This window comes from Homo sapiens, chromosome 8, assembly GCF_000001405.40.
Source record: "Homo sapiens chromosome 8, GRCh38.p14 Primary Assembly".
NCBI classification, from domain to species: Eukaryota; Metazoa; Chordata; class Mammalia; order Primates; family Hominidae; genus Homo; species Homo sapiens.
In genome coordinates, this window is record NC_000008.11 from 54,618,465 (window position 1) to 54,643,078 (window position 24,614).

General features: G+C 37.5%; 1 protein-coding gene across 8 annotated transcripts in view, besides 1 other annotated feature; it reads left to right on the forward strand.

The window, feature by feature from the left end:
• The window catches only part of RP1 (RP1 axonemal microtubule associated), a 312,050-nt gene that overhangs the window by 59,280 nt on the left and 228,156 nt on the right, over positions 1-24,614 (forward strand). For 7 of the 8 annotated variants that reach the window (XM_047422069.1, XM_047422070.1, XM_047422071.1 and 4 more), the window contains 2 exons: positions 2,491-3,117; positions 3,653-3,824. In XM_047422069.1, coding sequence (XP_047278025.1) covers positions 2,491-3,117; positions 3,653-3,824 — 799 coding nt within the window. Of the gene's footprint in view, positions 1-2,490; positions 3,118-3,652; positions 3,825-6,205; positions 12,371-24,614 lie in introns of those variants that run through there. The other variant, NM_006269.2, reaches the window with a different exon arrangement.
• Positions 10,295-11,494: an enhancer, noted in NCBI's record as "CDK7 strongly-dependent group 2 enhancer chr8:55541319-55542518 (GRCh37/hg19 assembly coordinates)". NCBI's record gives its function as "activates an origin of replication core promoter dependent on BRD2, BRD4, P300/CBP, MED14 and CDK7 cofactors, with strong dependence on CDK7, by STARR-seq in HCT116 cells {active_cell/tissue: HCT116}" and the evidence as "EXISTENCE:reporter gene assay evidence [ECO:0000049][PMID:35650434]".

Consider the following 24,614-nt stretch of genomic DNA (forward strand, 5'->3'; position numbering starts at 1 on the left):
TGAGATTCAGGCATTTAAAAAGTGACATTAAGAGCCTCATGATGCACCTACACCAAGAAAAATATCATTTTCCAAAATTAAGTGAAAAATGTGTCTCAAATATTATTCATGTACGATATTTTCAAATAAACATATAAGTACACCAACCTAAAATATAATTGGAGACAGAGTTCTAAAGTCTTACTTATTTTTTATTTTATTTTTTTCTTGAAATGGAGTCTTGCTCTGTCATCCAGGCTGGGGTGCAGTGGTGCGATCTCAGCTCACTGCAACATCTGCCTCCTGGGTTCAAGCAATTCTCCTGCCTCAGCCTCCCGAGTAGAGTAGCTGGGACTACAAGCACACGCCACCATGCCTGGCTAATTTTTGTATTTTTAGTAGAGATGAGATTTCACCATGTTGGCCAGGCTGGTCTTGAACTCCTAACCTCGGGTGATCTACCCGCCTTGGCCTCCCAAAGTGCTGGGATTGCACGTGTGAGCCACCACGCCCGGGCCTAAAGTCTTATTTAAATACTGAAGGAACTCATCCTTCTTACAGTTGCTGAGGCCATGGCGATTAAGCAGCTTGCTCAAGGTCAGACCACAGTTGACCAGATGAGGATGAGAAGAGGTTGCAGTTTTGCTGACTCCATTGCGAAGCTGGATTCCCCAGCTCCTGATGCACATGTCTGCTACAGCTGCTATTTTTTTGGCTTAAGTATTATAATTACTTTAAACCTCTGAGGAAGAAGGAAGGGAAGACATCTAATTTCTAGGCTGATCTTCAAATGTTTTTTTTTCTAAGTTACATTTAAATAAGATTTGCAAATCAGATTGGAGATATATGAAGAATCTTGGACAACAGCTTGCAAACATTTAAGTAGATAATTTGGGCCAGGTTTATAGCTGATTTACAATGATAAACATGCCTTTTTCCATCTCTGTATTACCAATCACATTAATTTTGTTTGTTCAATTTGTCTTCAAGGCTGCAGGACTTTCTTACTGTGTCAAAAGACACTAATAATTAAAATGATTTCAAACAATAGAAAACAGCCACAAATGAAAACAAGGCCAGAACCAGATAAATCCTTCCACATGCTGCTCATTTGTCAGTCAAACTCCAGTTTCACTGAGAAGTGGAAAAGGAAAACCTTAGTGCTTTGCTGAAAATTACTCTTCTTGAATTCTCTCCTGAAGGTTTAACTTTAGAACTACTAGTGGGACCAGTAACCAGACTGCACCAGTTTTAGCAGCCCATAGCAATGCTGTCATTCATTCAAAGGACATTTTTGCTTAGTGCAGTGTTTCCCAAAGTAAGATAAGTGGTGTGTGAGATGATTTGCCTGCATTTTCTCTAATAAGCGGTGGAAACATCTGACAGTATCTTAAGATGGCTCTTACTTAAGGTTCTATGTGATACATTCCTCCTAGAACTTAATGTCAAGTACATTTTCCTCCAGACAATTTGAACTTTAAAAACATTTCCTGTTTCTCCCATATTTCCTTATTGTCAGGATATGAAGGACTAAATTGATGAACTGCAAAACTCTCTTACTTTTCTCAGTGGATGGTTTCTGATTTGTGTCTCTGTTGTTTTTTAAATTGTGCAATAATACCTGCTAATTTTAAAGGTTCACAAAGTTTAGCAATGTATAAAAAACACAAATATTATCCAGAATTCTGCAATCCAGAGATAACCACCATCAACACTGGGTTGTATATATTTCTGGACTTTTCCCCAATTCATATAACTCAGTCATGTGCCACATAACACTACTTTGGTCAATGGTGGACTACCTATATGATGGTGGCCCCATAAGATTATAATACCATATTTTGACTATACCTTTTCTATGTTTAGATATGTTTAGATAACAAATTACCACTGTATTACAATGCCCTACGGTATTCAAACAGTAACATGCTGTACAGATTTATAGCCTAGGAGGAATAGGTTATTCCATAAAGCCTGGGTGTGTAGTAGGCTATATCATCTGTTTGTGTAAGTACACTCTCTGATGTTCACACAATGATGAAATCACCTAACAATGCATTTCTCAGAACTTATCCTCCTTGTTAAGCAATGTGACTGTACGTATACATTTAAATCAGTGGCACAGAATGTTTTGCAAACTGATTTTTTTCACTTAGTAATATGTCATGATCATCTTTCTATGCCAAAAGATACATCTATAAGGTCATGTTTAATGGTTGCATAGTTTTCCATTGCATGGGTGTATATGTGATAATTTATCTAGGCCCTTATTCGTGTGTTTAGGTTGTTTTTTCAAATTATACATATCCTTATTTAACAGTTTATCTCTTTTATTATAAGTTCCTTAAAATTGTCGTTCAAAATTGATAGGTATAATGAATGAATAAATGAATGAAAGAATAAACTTCTGTGAATATCCTGGATGTCTGCAGCTATATTTAGCATGCATTAGTATTACCATGTATTCGCTATGGTGCTGTGATTCTGGAGATAATTTTCTTTCTTCTCTAGGTCTCAGCCAAAATGAGTGATACCCCTTCTACTGGTTTTTCCATCATTCATCCTACGTCTTCTGAAGGTCAAGTTCCACCCCCTCGCCATTTGAGCCTCACTCATCCTGTTGTGGCCAAGCGAATCAGTTTCTACAAGAGCGGAGACCCCCAATTCGGCGGGGTCAGGGTGGTGGTCAACCCTCGCTCCTTTAAGTCCTTTGATGCTCTGCTGGATAACTTGTCCAGGAAGGTGCCCCTCCCTTTTGGAGTGAGGAACATCAGCACCCCTCGGGGCAGGCACAGCATCACGCGCCTGGAGGAGCTGGAGGACGGCGAGTCCTACCTATGTTCCCACGGCAGGAAGGTGCAGCCTGTAGACCTGGACAAAGCCCGTCGGCGCCCGCGGCCCTGGCTCAGCAGCCGGGCCATTAGCGCGCACTCACCGCCCCACCCCGTAGCCGTCGCTGCTCCCGGCATGCCCCGCCCCCCACGGAGCCTAGTGGTCTTCAGGAATGGCGACCCGAAGACGAGGCGTGCGGTTCTTCTGAGCAGGAGGGTCACCCAGAGCTTCGAGGCATTTCTACAGCACCTGACAGAGGTCATGCAGCGCCCTGTGGTCAAGCTGTACGCTACGGACGGAAGGAGGGTGAGCGTTCTGGGGGCTCCTCGAGCCTGAGCTCATTTTGAGCACCCTACTAATTGGATTCGTGTGGGATATGAATGGTGGCCCCCGGGAAGGAAATCTTCCTTCCTCCCTGCCTGTGTATGTGAGTGTGTGTGCTCCGATGCTGCCTTTGTTCCTTTGTCAGAATCTGACTGGAATCTCATCTTTCCCTCATGCTACCTACCCCTTTCTCTCTTCCCTGAGCCCTGAGTTACATAATGTTTTCACATGGAATCCAATCTTGATAATATTTTTTGGAAAGGAGTGGCAAAGAGTAGTATTTTCACAGAGGAAGCATTTTCCTGGGATCCCTGCTGGGACGTAACTGACTCCCCCACCCAACCTTGACATTTGGTATTTCCGCTTATTTTGTATACACCATTGGTGCCTAAGAAAATGCTCAGTGATGATGTCTTTCAAGCCTAGGAGGTTGTTGATTTGATTCAAGCAAAGTTATAAAATTACCACTTAGTATAAAATGTGCTCATCTCAGGATAATGACTCTGGTCTCTTTTAGGTTCCCAGCCTCCAGGCAGTGATCCTGAGCTCTGGAGCTGTGGTGGCGGCAGGAAGGGAGCCATTTAAACCAGGAAATTATGACATCCAAAAATACTTGCTTCCTGCTAGATTACCAGGGATCTCTCAGCGTGTGTACCCCAAGGGAAATGCAAAGTCAGAAAGCAGAAAGAGTAAGTCACTTATTAATATATAGCCCATATTTTTAGCCCTGAGATTTTTTTTGCCTCAAGGACGGCAAAATCCATGCTTCAATGACCAGTTTCTTCCACCACAGAAACGAAAAGGAGAGGATTTAAAAACATTCTAAACTGAAATTGGCTATATTTATAGTTGGAAAGAGTCATAGATATTATCTATTTTTTAGACTTTTCCAAATCAATGGTATGCCTATTTAAATTGATGATGTGTGCTTTTTTGCATAAAATACCTAGTTAAAAAAATAAAAATGCCAGCATTTCTTGCTTTAGAGTGGAGTCTGTGTAAGTCTCTTCTCTGGTAGTTGCGGAGTTTTCTCTAAATAGTACCATGCAGCATCCATAGCTGACCTCAGCAGGTTAGCAGAATGACTGTATTTTTTCAAATCTACGCTATGTGCTCTGCCTTCTGAAGTTATTCCTAAAAAAATCACAGGTTCTTAGATCCACATTTTATTTATTAAATAAAAGGTTCATGCAACCAATTCATGCTGGTTAATGGTAATGTAGGTTGATAATTCTGTAGGATCTGCTGTGTAGCATTATCCTTTGGATAGGGGAGGAAGAGGGCCTCTTCAGGCCCAGGGATGTGGGATAAGCTGTAAATTGCCTATACAGCATGGCTAATCTCATTATTCATTATACTCAGTATTTCCAGGGAAGACAAGCTCTTTGCTAGAGTACTGATTGTTTTTTATACTTAAATTTAAGTTTTTATTCTCTTTAGACTTGGATAATATGTATTTTAAATAGTATTAATCTCTCTACTTATTGCTAATGTGGGTGAAACTAATCCATTGTTGTTTAATGATTTCATGGATATATTCAATAGATAATTATTAATGCTTCTATTTTGTAAGCATTAGGTTGCCACATATATGTTATAAATATGGTAGTGCTATTTCACGTTTGTCATTTTACTAAAATGATTTTATTATCTTATGTCTGATACAGATTGCCGAGTATGGTTTCTGATGACTGCAGGGAATCTGAGGGCTTTGTTAAGTTTTCTTCAAAAATTTGAGACACTTTGATTTACAATTTAAGTAAAAGCATATCAAAAATAAGAAAAAATATTTCTAGGTTTATACTCTGCAACATTAAAGGGGCTTACCTGATGGCAAGTATGTGCAAATCTATATAGATTTGCTAACAGGATTTTTTTTTTTTCTTTTTGAGATGGGGTCTCACTATGTTACCCAGGCTGTTATGATGGGCTCAAGTGATCACCCGCCTCAGCCTCCCAAAGTGCTGGGATTACAGATGTGAGCCATTGCGTCCAGCCCAGGCATTTTGACTGAATTTAAGAAGCAAGAGTGCCAAGGTTAATGCTGAAGATACATGTTAAAAAGATAACTGATATCTGGACTTATGTCTAGCTCTGTTCTCTCTTGTGCCCTATATTAAGTCAGCTGCAACGATTATACAAAGTGCATGCTAAATAATTAGTACTTGATTAATTCAGTCTGAATCATAAAATGTTTCTGCTTTCATAAAGCTATGGATACCTGTTTTGATATGTGTAGGTGGGAAGATGAATACCATCATAAATTGTTGGCTGCCTTGTTTGAATAGGTAAGCGGTATTTGGTTAGACTCCAGTTTCAGTACTGGTAAACAAAACAACGAAATGAAAACCCACAAAAAACTTTTATCTTTGGTAGAATTCTTAGCACTTTTTACTTTATACATTTTTAAAATTAAAATTACCTTATTAAACTTGTTAAAATTCTCTGAACCTCCACATTGAAATTGAGGTAGAATTAGAGATCTCTTCTAAAGAGTGGTTTGAAGAAATGTACCACTGTTATAGTAGGTTTTCTCAAATAACTATTGGGAAAACACATAGGCTGAGCGTGGTGGCTCAAGCCTGTAATCCCAGCACTTTGGGAGGCCGAGGCGGGCGGATCATGAGGTCAGGAGATCGACGAGACCATCCTGGCCAACATGGTGAAAACCTGTCTCGATTAAAAATACAAAACAATTAGCTGGGCATGGTGGTGCGGGCCTGTAGTCCCAGCTATTCGGGATGCTGAAGCAGGAGAATTGCTTGAACCCTGGAGGTGGAGGTAGCAGTGAGCCCAGATCACGCCACTGCATTCCAGCCTGGTGACAGAGCGAGACTCTGTCTCAAAAAAAAAAAAAAAAAAAAAAAAGAAAAAAAACAAAATACATAGAGCTCAGAAACATATCAGTAACATTTTACTATGAAATACAGAAAATATGCTACTTTTCATACTAATCATTTCCCCTTTTCTCTTTCTTTTTTTGCTGCCTCTTCCTTTGGATATTTCTAACTTCTCTGCCTTCCATATTATATTTTGATGTGGGCACCTTTTACTCTTAAAATCTTTAAAGTAAGCACACATATGTCTTCAAGCTCAAGGTCCCAGATTTATTCTGTTTCTTCTGAGAAAACACATAATAATGATTGCTACTTAGACTATTCTTTTGTTCCTGAAAAGTACTTGGCCTTAGAAAAGAATGATTCTCAGAATTTACCAATATATCCTTCTGAAGATGATATTGAGAAATCAATTATTTTTAATCAAGACGGCACTATGACAGTTGAGATGAAAGTTCGATTCAGAATAAAAGAGGAAGAAACCATAAAATGGACAACTACTGTCAGTAAAACTGGTCCTTCTAATAATGATGAAAAGAGTGAGATGAGTTTTCCAGGAAGAACAGAAAGTCGATCATCTGGTTTAAAGCTTGCAGCATGTTCATTCTCTGCAGATGTGTCACCTATGGAGCGAAGCAGTAATCAAGAGGGCAGTTTGGCAGAGGAGATAAACATTCAAATGACAGATCAAGTGGCTGAAACTTGCAGTTCTGCTAGTTGGGAGAATGCTACTGTGGACACAGATATCATCCAGGGAACTCAAGACCAAGCAAAGCATCGTTTTTATAGGCCCCCTACACCTGGACTAAGAAGAGTGAGACAAAAGAAATCTGTGATTGGCAGTGTGACCTTAGTATCTGAAACTGAGGTTCAAGAGAAAATGATTGGACAGTTTTCATATAGTGAAGAAAGGGAAAGTGGGGAAAACAAGTCTGAGTATCACATGTTTACACATTCTTGCAGTAAAATGTCATCAGTATCTAACAAACCAGTACTTGTTCAGATCAATAACAATGATCAAATGGAGGAGTCATCATTAGAAAGAAAAAAGGAAAACAGTCTGCTTAAGTCAAGTGCAATAAGTGCTGGTGTTATAGAAATTACAAGTCAGAAGATGTTAGAGATGTCACATAATAATGGTTTGCCATCAACTATATCAAATAACTCAATTGTGGAGGAAGATGTAGTTGATTGTGTGGTATTGGACAACAAAACTGGTATCAAGAACTTCAAAACTTATGGTAACACCAATGATAGGTTCAGTCCTATTTCAGCAGATGCAACCCATTTTTCAAGTAATAACTCTGGAACTGACAAAAATATTTCTGAGGCTCCAGCTTCAGAAGCATCCTCTACTGTCACTGCAAGAATTGACAGACTAATTAATGAATTTGCTCAGTGTGGTTTAACAAAACTTCCAAAAAATGAAAAGAAGATTTTGTCATCTGTTGCCAGCAAAAAGAAGAAAAAATCTCGACAGCAAGCAATAAATTCCAGGTATCAAGATGGACAGCTTGCAACCAAAGGAATTCTTAATAAGAATGAGAGAATAAACACAAAAGGTAGAATTACAAAGGAAATGATAGTGCAAGATTCAGATAGTCCCCTTAAAGGAGGGATACTTTGTGAGGAAGACCTCCAGAAAAGTGATACTGTAATTGAATCAAATACTTTTTGTTCCAAAAGTAATCTCAATTCCACGATTTCCAAGAATTTCCATAGAAATAAATTAAATACTACTCAAAATTCCAAGGTTCAAGGACTTTTAACCAAAAGAAAATCTAGATCACTAAATAAAATAAGCTTAGGAGCACCTAAAAAAAGAGAAATCGGTCAAAGAGATAAAGTGTTTCCTCACAATGAATCTAAATATTGCAAAAGTACTTTTGAAAACAAAAGTTTATTTCATGTATTTAACATCCTTGAGCAAAAACCCAAAGATTTTTATGCACCGCAATCTCAAGCAGAAGTGGCATCTGGGTATTTGAGAGGAATGGCAAAGAAGAGTTTAGTTTCAAAAGTTACTGATTCACACATAACTTTAAAAAGCCAGAAAAAACGTAAAGGGGATAAAGTGAAAGCAAGTGCTATTTTAAGTAAACAACATGCTACAACCAGGGCAAATTCTTTAGCTTCTTTGAAAAAACCTGATTTTCCTGAGGCTATTGCTCATCATTCAATTCAAAATTATATACAGAGTTGGTTGCAGAACATAAATCCATATCCAACTTTAAAGCCTATAAAATCAGCTCCAGTATGTAGAAATGAAACGAGTGTGGTAAATTGTAGCAATAATAGTTTTTCAGGGAATGATCCCCATACAAATTCTGGAAAAATAAGTAATTTTGTTATGGAAAGTAATAAGCACATAACTAAAATTGCCGGTTTGACAGGAGATAATCTATGTAAAGAGGGAGATAAGTCTTTTATTGCCAATGACACTGGTGAAGAAGATCTCCATGAGACACAGGTTGGATCTCTGAATGATGCTTATTTGGTTCCCCTGCATGAACACTGTACTTTGTCACAGTCAGCTATTAATGATCATAATACTAAAAGTCATATAGCTGCTGAAAAATCAGGACCAGAGAAAAAACTTGTTTACCAGGAAATAAACCTAGCTAGAAAAAGGCAAAGTGTAGAGGCTGCCATTCAAGTAGATCCTATAGAAGAGGAAACTCCAAAAGACCTCTTACCAGTCCTGATGCTTCACCAATTGCAAGCTTCAGTTCCTGGTATTCACAAGACTCAGAATGGAGTTGTTCAAATGCCAGGTTCACTTGCAGGTGTTCCCTTTCATTCTGCAATATGTAATTCATCCACTAATCTCCTTCTAGCTTGGCTCTTGGTGCTAAACCTAAAGGGAAGTATGAATAGCTTCTGTCAAGTTGATGCTCACAAGGCTACCAACAAATCTTCAGAAACACTTGCATTGTTGGAGATTCTAAAGCACATAGCTATCACAGAGGAAGCTGATGACTTGAAAGCTGCTGTTGCCAATTTAGTGGAGTCAACTACAAGCCACTTTGGACTCAGTGAGAAAGAACAAGACATGGTTCCAATAGATCTTTCTGCAAATTGTTCCACGGTCAACATTCAGAGTGTTCCTAAGTGCAGTGAAAATGAAAGAACACAAGGAATCTCCTCTTTGGATGGAGGTTGCTCTGCCAGTGAGGCATGTGCCCCTGAAGTCTGTGTTTTGGAAGTGACTTGCTCTCCATGTGAGATGTGCACTGTAAATAAGGCTTATTCTCCAAAAGAGACATGTAACCCCAGTGACACTTTTTTTCCTAGTGATGGTTATGGTGTGGATCAGACTTCTATGAATAAGGCTTGTTTCCTAGGAGAGGTCTGTTCACTTACTGATACTGTGTTTTCTGATAAGGCTTGTGCTCAAAAGGAGAACCATACCTATGAGGGAGCTTGCCCAATTGATGAGACCTACGTTCCTGTCAATGTCTGCAATACCATTGACTTTTTAAACTCCAAAGAAAACACATATACTGATAACTTGGATTCAACTGAAGAGTTAGAAAGAGGTGATGACATTCAGAAAGATCTAAATATTTTGACAGACCCTGAATATAAAAATGGATTTAATACATTGGTGTCACATCAAAATGTCAGTAATTTAAGCTCCTGTGGCCTTTGCCTAAGTGAAAAAGAAGCAGAACTTGATAAGAAACATAGTTCTCTAGATGATTTTGAAAATTGTTCACTAAGGAAGTTTCAGGATGAAAATGCATATACTTCCTTTGATATGGAAGAACCACGGACTTCTGAAGAACCAGGCTCAATAACCAACAGCATGACATCAAGTGAAAGAAACATTTCAGAATTGGAATCTTTTGAAGAATTAGAAAACCATGACACTGATATCTTTAATACAGTGGTAAATGGAGGAGAGCAAGCCACTGAAGAATTAATCCAAGAAGAGGTAGAGGCTAGTAAAACTTTAGAATTGATAGACATCTCTAGTAAGAATATTATGGAAGAAAAAAGAATGAACGGTATAATTTATGAAATAATCAGTAAGAGGCTGGCAACACCACCATCTTTAGATTTTTGCTATGATTCTAAGCAAAATAGTGAAAAGGAGACCAATGAAGGAGAAACTAAGATGGTAAAAATGATGGTGAAAACTATGGAAACTGGAAGTTATTCAGAGTCCTCTCCTGATTTAAAAAAATGCATCAAAAGTCCAGTGACTTCTGATTGGTCAGACTATCGGCCTGACAGTGACAGTGAGCAGCCATATAAAACATCCAGTGATGATCCCAATGACAGTGGCGAACTTACCCAAGAGAAAGAATATAACATAGGATTTGTTAAAAGGGCAATAGAAAAACTGTACGGTAAAGCAGATATTATCAAACCATCTTTTTTTCCTGGGTCTACCCGCAAATCTCAGGTTTGTCCTTATAATTCTGTGGAATTTCAGTGTTCCAGGAAAGCAAGTCTTTATGATTCTGAAGGGCAGTCATTTGGCTCTTCTGAACAGGTATCTAGTAGTTCATCTATGTTGCAGGAATTCCAGGAGGAAAGACAAGATAAGTGTGATGTTAGTGCTGTGAGGGACAATTATTGTAGGGGTGACATTGTAGAACCTGGTACAAAACAAAATGATGATAGCAGAATCCTCACAGACATAGAGGAAGGAGTACTGATTGACAAAGGCAAATGGCTTCTGAAAGAAAATCATTTGCTAAGGATGTCATCTGAAAATCCTGGCATGTGTGGCAATGCAGACACCACATCAGTGGACACCCTACTTGATAATAACAGCAGTGAGGTACCATATTCACATTTTGGTAATTTGGCCCCAGGCCCAACGATGGATGAACTCTCCTCTTCAGAACTCGAGGAACTGACTCAACCCCTTGAACTAAAATGCAATTACTTTAACATGCCTCATGGTAGTGACTCAGAACCTTTTCATGAGGACTTGCTGGATGTTCGCAATGAAACCTGTGCCAAGGAAAGAATAGCAAATCATCATACAGAGGAGAAGGGTAGTCATCAGTCAGAAAGAGTATGCACATCTGTCACTCATTCCTTTATTTCTGCTGGTAACAAAGTCTACCCTGTCTCTGATGATGCTATTAAAAACCAACCATTGCCTGGCAGTAATATGATTCATGGTACACTTCAGGAAGCTGACTCTTTGGATAAACTGTATGCTCTTTGTGGTCAACATTGCCCAATACTAACTGTTATTATCCAACCCATGAATGAGGAAGACCGAGGATTTGCATATCGCAAAGAATCTGATATTGAAAATTTCTTGGGTTTTTATTTATGGATGAAAATACACCCATATTTACTTCAGACAGACAAAAATGTGTTCAGGGAAGAGAACAATAAAGCAAGTATGAGACAAAATCTTATTGATAATGCCATTGGTGATATATTTGATCAGTTTTATTTCAGTAACACATTTGACTTGATGGGTAAAAGAAGAAAACAAAAAAGAATTAACTTCTTGGGGTTAGAGGAAGAAGGTAATTTAAAGAAATTTCAACCAGATTTGAAGGAAAGGTTTTGTATGAATTTCTTGCACACATCATTGTTAGTTGTGGGTAATGTGGATTCAAATACACAAGACCTCAGCGGTCAGACAAATGAAATCTTTAAAGCAGTCGATGAGAATAACAACTTATTAAATAACAGATTCCAGGGCTCAAGAACAAATCTCAACCAAGTAGTAAGAGAAAATATCAACTGTCATTACTTCTTTGAAATGCTTGGTCAAGCTTGCCTCTTAGATATTTGCCAAGTTGAGACCTCCTTAAATATTAGCAACAGAAATATTTTAGAACTTTGTATGTTTGAGGGTGAAAATCTTTTCATTTGGGAAGAGGAAGACATATTAAATTTAACTGATCTTGAAAGCAGTAGAGAACAAGAAGATTTATAATTTCAATATCAGCACACTCATTCTTTGTCAATTCATTTTTTCCCATGAGATGAAGCACATGTGACGAATACGGACTAGATAACCTCTAAGAATTTTCCACTTCTTCAAAATGAACTTACTCTAGAAAGCTTACCCTTGGATAACCAGTTTGACTTTCATAATGTCTCTGTTTTTTGTTTTTCCAACAATTACAGACTCAGGTTCTCTTATTTTGGAAGTTTCTATCTGGTTTTGTTCTGAACTTACATTTTTTTTTTTTTTGGTATCTATGATTTTTTTTGCTCAGGGCATCAAAATGTGCTAAGGACAAGAATTATATCCTTTTTAAAAAATGTTGTTAGCTTGGTGTAAAATGTATATTGACTGTATTGGTGAATAAATTGAATAGACATAACCTCAAAGTACTTCACTTATTCTTTTTAACTACTGATTTGATAAAAAGTATGATTATAAGATATCCACGACAATCTCATAGTTTCTTGTGCCAAATATGTTGAGTCCAGTTCCTCAGAATATCCAGTGAAATTGCAAGCATTTCCATGGGACAGGATTTAGTGTTTTTCTAATAGACTAGACTATCAAGTATCAATTGGTTTGAATAATTGTGGTGTATTTCCCAGGAGTTAACCAGGAAAGCTTTTAAGAGTCCTTCCACTGCATGACTATATGATGATATAGAAACAAGTCTTAGGAAACTTGGAAATCTATGCCTCTTGTCTACAACTAACTCAAATTAGAATGATCAGTATTTTTGGAGCCACACATGGAGATGCTAAAATAACATAAATTTGGCATTGAGGAACAAAAGGTAATTAAATTAATTACATCAAGAATAATGTTGGTGTCAGTTCAGCATGAGTCATAAATTCATAAAAATTATGAATTGCTACTTCATCAGCTGGAGACTACTTCTATGTAGAGTATGCTTTTTAAAAAAACATTAAGTGATGCTTTCTTTTAGTGAAAATATGGAAGCTATAATGTTATGTAAGTTTCTGTAGTAAGCAATGAGAAATTGTAGTGAATGAAAGGGCACAAAGTTTTGGAGAAAAAATAGAAAGGAGAAAATAATTTACATTAATTTTGTGCCTACTGTGTACCAGGGACTGTGGTACACCTGCAGGCTTTTTGTGTGTAATTCTTCCTCATAAAAGCACTGTGAATGTGGCTTTATTACTTCCCCTGCATTTTTTTTTTTTTTAAGTAGAGAAGTTAGGAGCAAAAGGTAAAGGACTTTCATGACTGGTTTACAGTAGGGTATCATGCCAGGATTTGAACCCAGTTCTTTGTGCTTGAAAATCAATGCTCTTTTTACTACTTTTTTTTTTTTAAAGCTGATTCTCAGTATGTTTCACAGGCTGGTTTTGAACTCCTGGGCTCAAATGATCCTCCATCCTCAGCTTCTCAAGTAGGTGGGACTGCAGGCACACGCCACTGCGCTGGGCATCCTACATTTTTATCATTGTTTTCATGTGAGGAAGAAGGGATAAGATTTTTTTTTTTTTGAGACAGAGTTTCGCTCTTGTTGCCCAGGCTGGAGTGCAATGGTGCGATCTCGGCTCACCGCAACCCCTGCCTCCTGGGTTCAGGTGATTCTCCTGCCTCAGCCTCCCAAGTAGCTGGGATTACAGGCATGCACCACCACACCTGGCTAATTTTTGTATTTTTAGTAGAGACGGGGTTTCTCCATGTTGGTTAGGCTGTTCTTGAACTTCCGACCTCAGGTGATCCGCCCGCCTCGGCCTCCCAAAGTGCTGGGATTACAGGTGTGAGCCACCGCGCCCAGCCAGGGATAAGATATTTAAAAAAAAATTACCACTCATTCTCTAGTGCAGGGAGACAAGGAAAGAATTTTTCTTTTTAATTTGGAAGGTGTGAAATATAGATATACCCAAGAAGATTGAGGAAATCATTTATAAAAACCAGGAGGTTTCAAGAAATATGGCATGCAGTATGTAGTTTTTGGCAATACTATTACACCAAACAGTGTCCTTCATGCATCATAATTGGGAGAAGCTGGAGTGACAACCATGAATTAGTAATGCATGGGACTGTGTAACATACTTCTTCTTTAAACATACTTCTTTAAAGTGAACGTGTTCACATGCATTGAATTCTGAGATCTTGGGCCACATCTTATTCACAGAGCTAGCTTCGTACTTGGTACATGGTAAGTACCTAATAAATGTGTGTTAAATGGATAAGAAGTGCATTTGAAGGCATTTAATTTTTCTTTACCTCTTACTAATTTCAGATCCATACATGTAGAAGGATGTGCAAATATGCTGAAGGATAGAACTCAGTTTTTTGTATTTTTTTTAGTTTTTTTATATTTTACGAAAGCAGTATTTTAGTTATCCTTAAAATGTCTGTAAAGATGATTTTTTCTTTTAAGCATTCAAAGCATGTTTTTAGTTTTGCAAGATTTATATTTAAAAAATCTTGTCACACTGTGAAATTTAGAAGAGTAAGTGAAACTTTAGAGGAAATTTAAGGATATTATAGAGAGCTAGCTTTTGCTTTAGAGATGAAGTACCTGAAGGGCTGAGTATGGAAGTGTAGCCTCCCTTACTCAGGGGAAGATATGTAGAATTCAGTCTCTGGTCCCAAGGTGGAGTGGTGAAATTATTGTGTTTTGCCCACCAGATGGCAGCTGTGCTATGCGCTGCCAAAAGTTCAGGCACTCTGAGAGGCTTGCATGGATAAAGGCAATGCTTTAAGCATTGGGGCAGTCTCTGAGCTTCCTGCTTCTGCTTCAAAGAAAGCTGAATGCCCAACTGTGCAGGCATCCCCCAAATATTAAACCCGGAAGAAGCAGCAGTGTTCAGAATTAAAATAAATATACTATTAGTATATTTAGTAGCAAGGAGCAGAAGTTCAAAAGTAGAGGCACTCAAAAATGCCAGCTGTCAAGAATCATCAGAGTTGATTCCAAGGAAAGCCCAATTTGGGGACTATGGGACCCAACAAAATTCCCTAATTCAAGCTGAAACTAAGTTAATGAGCTATTGGTTCAGTGGATAGGGGTAATTTTTACATGACACTTTCAAATATTATAATGTAACTTTTCAGTGGCACAAAACATGCCTCATTTTTCAGAGTGTAAACTGAGGTATTGAAACTACATTCCATATTTGTGGCACTCATTAAAGTTCTTATGAAGAGCTACCTTATAAGGTGGTTGTGAGAGGATCACTAGAGAAAATACTTGTAAAACTCTTAGCACAGAGTTTGGCACACAGTGTTAAACATGTTTTAGCTATTTTTCTTTAAAAAGCCATTAGTGTGAATACGTTTGATACACTTTTCAAAGTTGGTGTTCTTCTGACCAAGATGTATTTTAGCTTTATTTTGTGCCTCTCTCTCTCTCTCTCTCTCTCTCTCTATATATATATATATATATATATGAAATGTAATATTTTCAACATTTAGTCATATAGCCCTTCACAAAAGTGAAGGTGACAAACAGTTTGAGCCCCTGCTCTGTGCCAAATATTGGGCTAAGTTCTTTATGTGTATTATCTTAGTCCTCACGAGAACCCTCTCGATGGGTAACAGTACCTTTAATGTAGCAGGAAGGGGACTAAAACTCACAGAGGCTAGTAAAGAAGCACTTTTACTTTAATATCTGTATTCGATTCTCATAAAAAGTCCTGAGTTTTGTGGTTTGATACTCTATGTACAGATCTACCCTGAAAACAAAATGACTTTCTATTCCCTGTTTATTGAGGTTAAGAAGGATTCCATTACTGCCCAGGGTTCTTTTAATCCAAAGTACTTACCATTTTTCCTACTATTCTACGCTCTTGTCCATTAAGGTATTAAAGGATAATTGTTTTTAAAAGCAAAATCATGAATTCCATATAGATATAACATGACCATGTGCCAAAGATTGTATTTAACTTACAAATTACATAGGGAATTATTAACATATACAATGGGCTGAAGGAAGAATTTAAAGTATCACTAAAAATAAGCAATAAGAAATGCTGAAATGAATTTGGGTCTGTCCAGGACAAAAATTACATTCCCTGGACACCACCAATTTATATTTCTATGGACAAGAATAGTTTGCATTATCTGTGTTTTTACAATTTGCAGGATTATCAGATAATTTAAAGATAATGAAAAAACAGAGATAACCCCAAGAGGGCTTGATAAGGCACTTAGTAATTTCTTTTTTGTCCATTTCAAGGTATTTCACAGTTTTTTTCCTAAAAGGGTTTATCTTCCAGTAACTTAAGTGCTAAGTTATTAAGGGACTATTCCCAAGTCATGGCAAAGAATGTATGACCAAAAAGCTTTTGAAAATTAAGCAACAAAACAGCAAACCTTCAAACAGAGACAAGTACTATGTTTGATGGTTTAGAGAAGATACGTTCATCTTGTTCTAGACAAAAATTAGTAAACAATTCCCATCATGGACTTTAGATGTAATATACAATGGGCTGGGCGCAGTGGCTCACACCTGTAATCCCAGCACTTTGGGAGGCCAAGGTGGGCGGATCACGAGGTCAAGAGATCGAGACCATCCTGGCGAACACGTTGAAACTCCATCTCTACTAAAAATACAAAAAAATTAGCCAGGTTTGGTGGTGGGCACCTGTAGTCCCAGCTACTCGGGAGGCTGAGGCAGGAGAATGGCATGAACCCAGGAGGCGGAGCTTGCAGTGAGCCGAGATGGTGCCACTGCACTCCAGCCTGGGCAACAGAGCGAGACTCCATCTCAAAAAAAAAAAAAAAGATGTAATATACAATGATTATTTTTTTATCAATGGGAATTCTTTCTAAAGGATATACACATGAGCCTTTTCTCTATGCATAGATATTTCATATATTAATGTTTACTTTTTGATTCATACACAGATTATCATAACAATCAGTAACAGCAAGAACAAAAAACAAAGGTCAATGGAGTAGAAATCATTTAGCTGCTTTTCATCTTGAGAATAGTTCTTTTCTTCTGTAACACTAATGTTGATAAATGGCTGCAGTCTACAGACTACTACTTACGTAAGACTGCTTAAAGCTCAGGTGAATCAATACAACCAAGTAAATTAAGATAGGATGGTAGGTTCATGGGAAAACATGACTTGTACATCACAGGAATTCATTATATTGAGAGTGAAAGTGGTTAGTGAGAAATGGGTGATACAAAGCTAAACACTATATTTATGTTCATATATATGAATATTCATATATATATTTATAAGTTTATTTAATGTAGTTGCTGCCTCAGCATCCATTTTTAGGATTGACATAATATTTGAAATTTAGTCCTACTTTGTCACCTTTGGCTTAGTTAAAAGCTTACTTTCCCGTGTAGTTGTTTGCCGTATGGCTTATTTGTTCCTCACTTCTTTGACCCAAAACCCAACACACCCCACAGCTATTGAACGTGATAAAATGTAACGGTCAACACCAGAGTCACATAAATAGGTTCACCCCTTCAGGAGGGAAGAGGGGAACTTATTTCTTTAAATTAGCCCATCTACAACCCCCACAAGAAAGCCTAAGGGATAATGTCCACAGAGCTTAATAAAGGCATACACAGTCCCAGAGATTTCCCCGTCCCTCTCTCCCAAAAGTTCTGTCTCACAACCTCCCTCCTTCCCTTTCTCCCTCTTCCTCTCCTCCCCACTGACCCCTTGCTGATTGAGCTCCCTGCTGCCTCTTTCTGTTGGCACCCCTAACCTTTCTGGGAACTGTGAATAATAAACACTTATGTTTTGCGCATTTCCATTTCACTTCATTGTGTCTCATTTGGCATAGATGCTCTTAACGTAGCCTTCTTTTTGGTCAGAGCTATCTTAGAGAGTGGCTGTCTTGACAGGAATAATCTGGATACAGGTCAGGCAAGACCCACAAGGGTGTCTGCCTGAAAAAACAGTTTGTTGTGAGAGGGACACCTAGTCATGGGTCAGACACTTAGGCAATAGGCATCCTTCAGGATAAAGAGGCATCCCATGGAAGGCGCACTGTCAACATCCACAACAAAATCCTTTGAATTTCTGGCAAGGGCAAGGCTGGAGCTTATGGCCACTCTCAAGAAAAACCTCAAGACCAAATTAGAAAGAAACCATCATAAAAATCACAACAGTTGGCTGTGCATGGTGGCTCACGCCTGTAATCCCAGCACTTTGGGAGGCCAAGGCAGGTGGATCACCTGAGGTCAGGAGTTCAAGACCAGCCTGGCCAACATGGTGAAACCCGTTCTTTACTAAAAATATAAAAATTAGCTGGGCCTGGTCGTGGGCGCCTGTAATCCTAGCTACTCGGGAGGCTGAGGCAGGAGAGTCTCTTGAACCCGGTAGGTGGAGGTAGCAGTGAGCTGAGATTACGCCACTGTACCCCAGCCTGGGCGGCAAGAGCAAAACTCCCTCTCAAAAAACAAAAACAAAAAACACACTTGCATACATATGTATCCCATTTATTCTCATGGATGTGGTATAGAGAATCCAAAAGAATAATTTCATGTCATTTAAATGACATTGGAGTTTGTTTTAGACATATATTTCAATATAGGTCTGTTAGTGGAAATTCTCAGTCAAAAAGACATTATATGAAGAATAACTAGGACCAAGAGAAAGTTCTCTAGATTTGTTATTTTATGCCTTTGCTTACTTTCTCCCTGTTCACCTATTAGTTTGCACCAGTCTGCACAATGGGCTCTGTCCTGTCACCCTTCCAGGAGGCATGGTGTAGCATAGCATTATGGAGATTGTCTGGTGCTCTTCCTTCAGCAGGTTGATGTTGAGGTTAGCCTTGTATGCCCTGTTCGGTATCCTGCTAGGAACTTGTGGACCTCATCTGGATCAACAGATAGAGTCTCATGAAATATCTGGTTGTCATGAAATGTCAAAGTATGTAGAGTGCTATGTAATAGCTCGATAGGACTGATTGAACTCCTGGGTGGTCCTGAGTGGGTTAGGAAAGGGGTCCACAGTGAGTGCCTAGCTGGACAAGTCTCTGCATACAGCTGACCACCTAGGCATTAAGAGCCAGAACCACACAGTAGACCTGCACTGGCAGGCTATCCAGCATAGAAGTTTTACTTTTTCAATGGTGAACTCTTCCATTTGCATTTTTATTTCTTATCAAAGTTATACATTTATAACTAGTTTTAATCAGAAGTGCATAGCTCAAAATAAAAAATAGACCACTTTCTGACCCTGTACATGCCTAATTCCCACTCCAGAGGCATCTTTCTTGAAAATATTTAGCTGTTTTTCTGCTGTTTATTTCTGTATTTAGAGACATACTGCTTTTTTTTTCAATTTTAGATTTTGTGTATTGACATTTCACCTTCAGCCTCCCACTTCATATCTCTGCCAATATAATTTTTTTTATTAAATTACAGGGCTTTCATTAATAACCATGTAAATATGTAAATATTTTCCTCAGCTGAGCCTTTTAGTGTATCCTGACTACATTTTCTTTTTTGAACTATTTTTTGTTTTCCTTGGATTAAAAATGGACTACCATTTATTACTGAACTCTTCCCCAGGGCTGACTCTGTCAGCATAAAAGTGCACATCTATTCTATTTTTTTCCCTTGGGGACATTATTTTTCTTGAAGGCATTCCTTGGGGAAGTCCCTTCCCAACTCCTCTACCCAGCTCCCTCCTCATCCGACGTGAACTGCTTCAATCCAGGTCAGCTGTGCAGTTGTCATCCTGAGCTATCCCTCAGCAACATCCTGGGAATCTCCTTTTCCTCTCTATATTGAATGTCTTGTTTATTGAAATCTTAGTTTAGGCCTCAGTTTAGGTGGAGAAAATTCTCTTATAGTTTATAATAAGGGGTGCATGGGAGTTCTTTTTTGATTCTTGAATGTATGAAAATATCTTTTGGCAGGTGGATTGCCTGAGCTTGTGAGTTCGAGACGAGCCTCGGCAACACAGTGAAACCCTGTCTCTACTAAAATACAAAAGATTAGCCAGGCATGGTGTTGTGCACCTGTAATCTCAGCTACTTGGGAGGCTGAGACAGGAGAATCACTTGAACCCAGGAGGTGGAGGTTGCAGTGAGCCGAGATCGCGCCACTGCACTCCAGCCTGGGCGACAGAGTGAGACTCCATCTCAAAAAAAAAAAAAAAACATACCGTTATTCTCATGTTTAATGGATAAAAATTATATGGCCTTATACATTAGAAGTAACTCAAACATTTTAAAAGCTTTAAAAATTTGTCTTTTATTTTCTAATCCCAACATGAAAAGTACTAAGCCATTCTCATTTCTGCTCCCATACATGTGACCCCTCTCCCCTTCCCAAAAGCTTTTAGGACCATCTGTTTATTCTGGTATTCTGAAATTTCACAATAATACACACTTGTATAGGGTTGGTTTGTTTGTTTTTGCTACACTAGGCATTCAGTACCCGTATCCTTTAGTTCTGGGAATTTGTTTTATATTATTTCTCTGATCTTTCCCCTCCGTTTTTTGTTCTTTCATTTTAAAATTTCTATTATGAATATTACCTGAGCTTGATGAACCTCTGGAATAATTCCTTAATTTTTAATTTTCTTCTCTCTCTCTCTCTCTCTCTCTCTCTCGGTCTCTCTCACCCTTTATTTGGGTATAATTTACATTTGATAAAATCTCCCCAATTTTAAGTGTTATGATTTGATGGGTTTTGACAAATATATGTATTCACATAATCACCACTATAGTAAGATAATGGAACATTTCCATCACTCAAAAAAGGACTTTTTATTTCCCTTTATAGCCAGTCCCTTCTCCCCTTTGCCCAACCCTTGGAAACCATGGATTCACTTTCTGTGGCTGTAGTGTTTTCTCTAGAATTTTATGCAAATGGAATCTTATGGTCTGGCATCTTTGATATCTGCTTCTTTTACTTAGCAAAATGATTTTGAGATTCATTATTGTTGCCTGAATCAGTAGTTGTTTTTCATTGCTGAGTGGTATTTCATTGTATGTACATACCACACTTTGTTTATACATTTACCAGCTAATAGACATTTATTTCTGGCTTTTGGTTATTATGGATATAAGTTATATAAACATTCATGTCCAGTCTTCTTGCAGGACATACTTTTTTATCTTTCCTAGGTAAATATCTAGGAGTGAGATTGCTAGCTTTTATGGTAATTGTATGTTAATGAGAAATTGCCAACTCCTTTCAAAAGTAGTTGTATCATTTTGTATCCCTACCAACAATATATGAGGATTCTAGTTGTTCTGTATTCTGGTTTGCACTTGCTATTATTAGACTTAAATTTTAGCTATACCAGTGTGTTTACTTTCTGCATTTAATTTGCATTTTTCTAATGACTATTGATGTTGGACATCTTTACATGTACTGATTTGCTGTTCATATATCTTTTGTGGTATAGTGTGTTTTCAAATTTATTTTCTGTTGGGCATTTGAAATCTAGAGCTGCAAGAGTTCTTTACATATTCTGGGTACAATATATTCACTTGATCTTAGCCAAAAGGCTGAGAAGCAATTATATATATAATACAATATACAATATATTCAGATGTATGTCTTGCACGCATTTTCTCCTAGTGTAATAGCTTGACTTTTCACTTTCTTAGTGGTGGGATTTTGAATGAACAAGTTTTAAATTTTGGTAAGCCCAGTTTGTTAATTTCCTTTGTATGGCTCATGCTTTTCAAGTCTTATCTAAGAAATCTCTGCCTGCCTATCTCAATGACAAGATTTTCTCCTGTGTTTTCTTTTAGGAGTTTCATCATTTTAATTCTTACTTTGGGTCTATTTGTCCCATTTTGAGCTTTTTTTTTTTTTAAATATACTGTGGGAGGTAAGAGTTGAGGTTCATTTTATTTTAAATGGACATCCAATTATTCCAGCACTCTTTGTTCCAAAGACTATCCTTTCTTCATTGAATACTTTGATTTAGAAAGGATAGTCTTTTGTCAAAAGTTAATTAACCACATGTGTAGGGGTGCATTTCTGCATTCTCTATTCTATTTCATTGATTTGTGCATATATTTGTATGCCAAAATATACCATCTTGATTACTGTAGCTTTATAGTAAGCCTTGAAACCAGATAGTGTAAATTTTTCCAACTTTGTTCTCTTTCAAAATTGCTTTGACCAATCTAGGTTCTTTCATTTTTCCTTTTTAAACTGCTAAACCAGCAGCTGGAGAGTAAAGCTTTGAATGCCTAGCTTGGAACTTCCCCCTGCTGTGTAAATTTTTATCTATGCCAGAAAAGTAGCCTTGGGCCTTATATTCCTGGGTGAAAAGAGAGACCATAGAAGATGGAGTCAAGTCGGCTGGTGCTTAGATTCAACATGCAGAAGAGTCCTAGAGAGAACTACACACAATGACCCTGCCCATCTGTAAAGCAGTCCATCATTACCTTGGACACTCAAATTGGTATTTTGCTACTTTAGGTTTTTCTGGCCTGAAAAGAGAAACAGTTACCTTCCATTAGTTCTGTATCTTATACTACTTAGAAGTTACTTATTTTATGGCTACTTCTGATTTCACACAATCTTTTTCAAACAACGGTGGCTAAGATTGAACACTCTTATTGCCTTGCTTGGAGTTTGATTTCCATGGTTTAATCCCAAGTATTTGTGATTTATATTTGCCCACCAATATAAATCTCCTTTTTTTTTTTTTTTTTTGAGACAGAGTCTTGCCGTGTTGCCCAGGCTGGAGTGTAGTCACTGCTAGCTCCTCCTCCCGGGTTCACACCATTCTCCTTCCTCAGCCTCCTGAGTAGCTGGGACTACAGGCACCCGCCACCACGCCTGGCTAATTTTTTGTACTTTTTAGTAGAGACGGGGTTTCACTGTGTTAGTCAGGATGGTCTCGATCTCCTGACCTTGTGATCTGCCCTCCTCAGCCTCCTGAAGTGCTGGGATTACAGGCGTGAGCCACTGCGTCCGGCCATAATTCTCCTTATAGACACCATTGTAATCCAGTGGCTACATACCTATATCATGAAGGCTGATCCTTTTCTGTTTCTTTTTATTGTTATGTATATGAATTGCAATCACTCAGGCATGTAGACAGACACAGGCACTATTTCTCTAATTTTGTATATTAGGAGATTAATTTCCATTTATATAATAAATTTGTCCTCTGAAATTTCCAAGGTTGATAACAGTTTTTACATGTAATTCTTAAGTAGCTTAATTAATTAGCTTCTCAACTTTTTTTTCTGTTATTGCCTCCTGCTAATGAGAGAAATTAAATACTAAGGAATAATGTTTTGCCAGATAGCACTGAGTTTAGAGGGCCCCAAACCATTGTATATTTAAGCTTTTTTGCCCTCCAAAAACCAGTTTTTGTCCTTTGGGATTAATATTGCTCTCATGAGAATGCGTGGTCTAATTGATGCAAAAGAGGTAATTTTGTAACAATTATAATGAAAATAACTTTCCTTTCTTGGGTAGCTGTTATGTAATAGGCACCGTACTATGTGCTTAACACATGTTGTCTGATTTAGCTCTCCTAAAGGCCATGTGAGGAATGTATTATTTCTGTTTTCTGAGTGAAGACGCTGAGAAAGTTTAACTTATCTAAAATCAAGTTTCAGACTAGATCTCAAAATGATTATGTGTGACGCTGAAGATCTACTACCCTCCTCTCCTCACAAAGATACTATTCACATTCATAGAAAAGTCAAGCCATTTCTGACTAGAGATGCACAATTAGTTGTGGTACTAAATTTAGTGTACTGATTTGCAGAAATGGTTCAGTCTTTTCTGTTTGGCATCACTTATAGATCATTAAAGATTTTTCTAGCCTGTGAATACTCTACTGGGAAGAACAGTTTACATATGATTATTAGGAACTCTAAATATAAAATGATAATTCTAAAGAGGACTTTTATAATCACAAGGTGAAAACATTTTTTTTTGTTTTGAAAGAATTTAGGCACAAAGTTCCTATATGCTGATACTCCTAAAGAACTTTGCATTGGTTAACTATATATATTTTTCTCTTTACATACTTAACCAATTTAAAAAAGGTAAAAGTTATATAGCATGTAGTAAAAAAATTAGATAGTGTAGGCAGGTATTAAATAAACAATGTCTTCCTTCTCCCATCTCCAACTTCTAAACTTTATTTATAAAGGTATCTTAAGGCGTTTTTTCTAAACTTTAAATGTGCATAGCAGCATGTGTACATATATTTGGGGATATCTTTTTTATTTGTAAAACTGAGATAATAGTATCCAAATTTTACCACATTTTGCTTTATTCTTTTAAAATAGTTGTGTGTTGCACTGAGTCAAAATTTAACTCATTCTGTATTTAAAGATACATGATTGTATCTAAATATTTGCTACTTAGATAAGGAGACTTTTGAAGAATGTTCTTAGTACACATAGTTTGGCGTCGTTCTGAGTATATTTGTATAGTAAATTACAGGAGTAAAATAGTTACATTAAAGAATATGTGCATTGTAAAATTTCATAGATATTCTCAAGCTGCCATTCAATAAAGGTATGTGAAACTTCACTGATGTCAAACTGTGTTTGAGAAAGCCCATTTCTTCGGACTGTTATAACACTAGGTGTTTTAAAACTAAAGATTTTTGTCACTCTGATAGATGAAAAACAATGTTTTGATTTGCCTTTCTTCAGTTATAAGGGAGGTTGAGCATATTTTCTATTTCTTGATCACTTGTGTTCTCTTTTTTTTTAATAAATTGCCTATTCATATTCCTGTCCATTTTTCCATTGTGATATCGATGTTTTGTTTAGTTTTGTTTTAT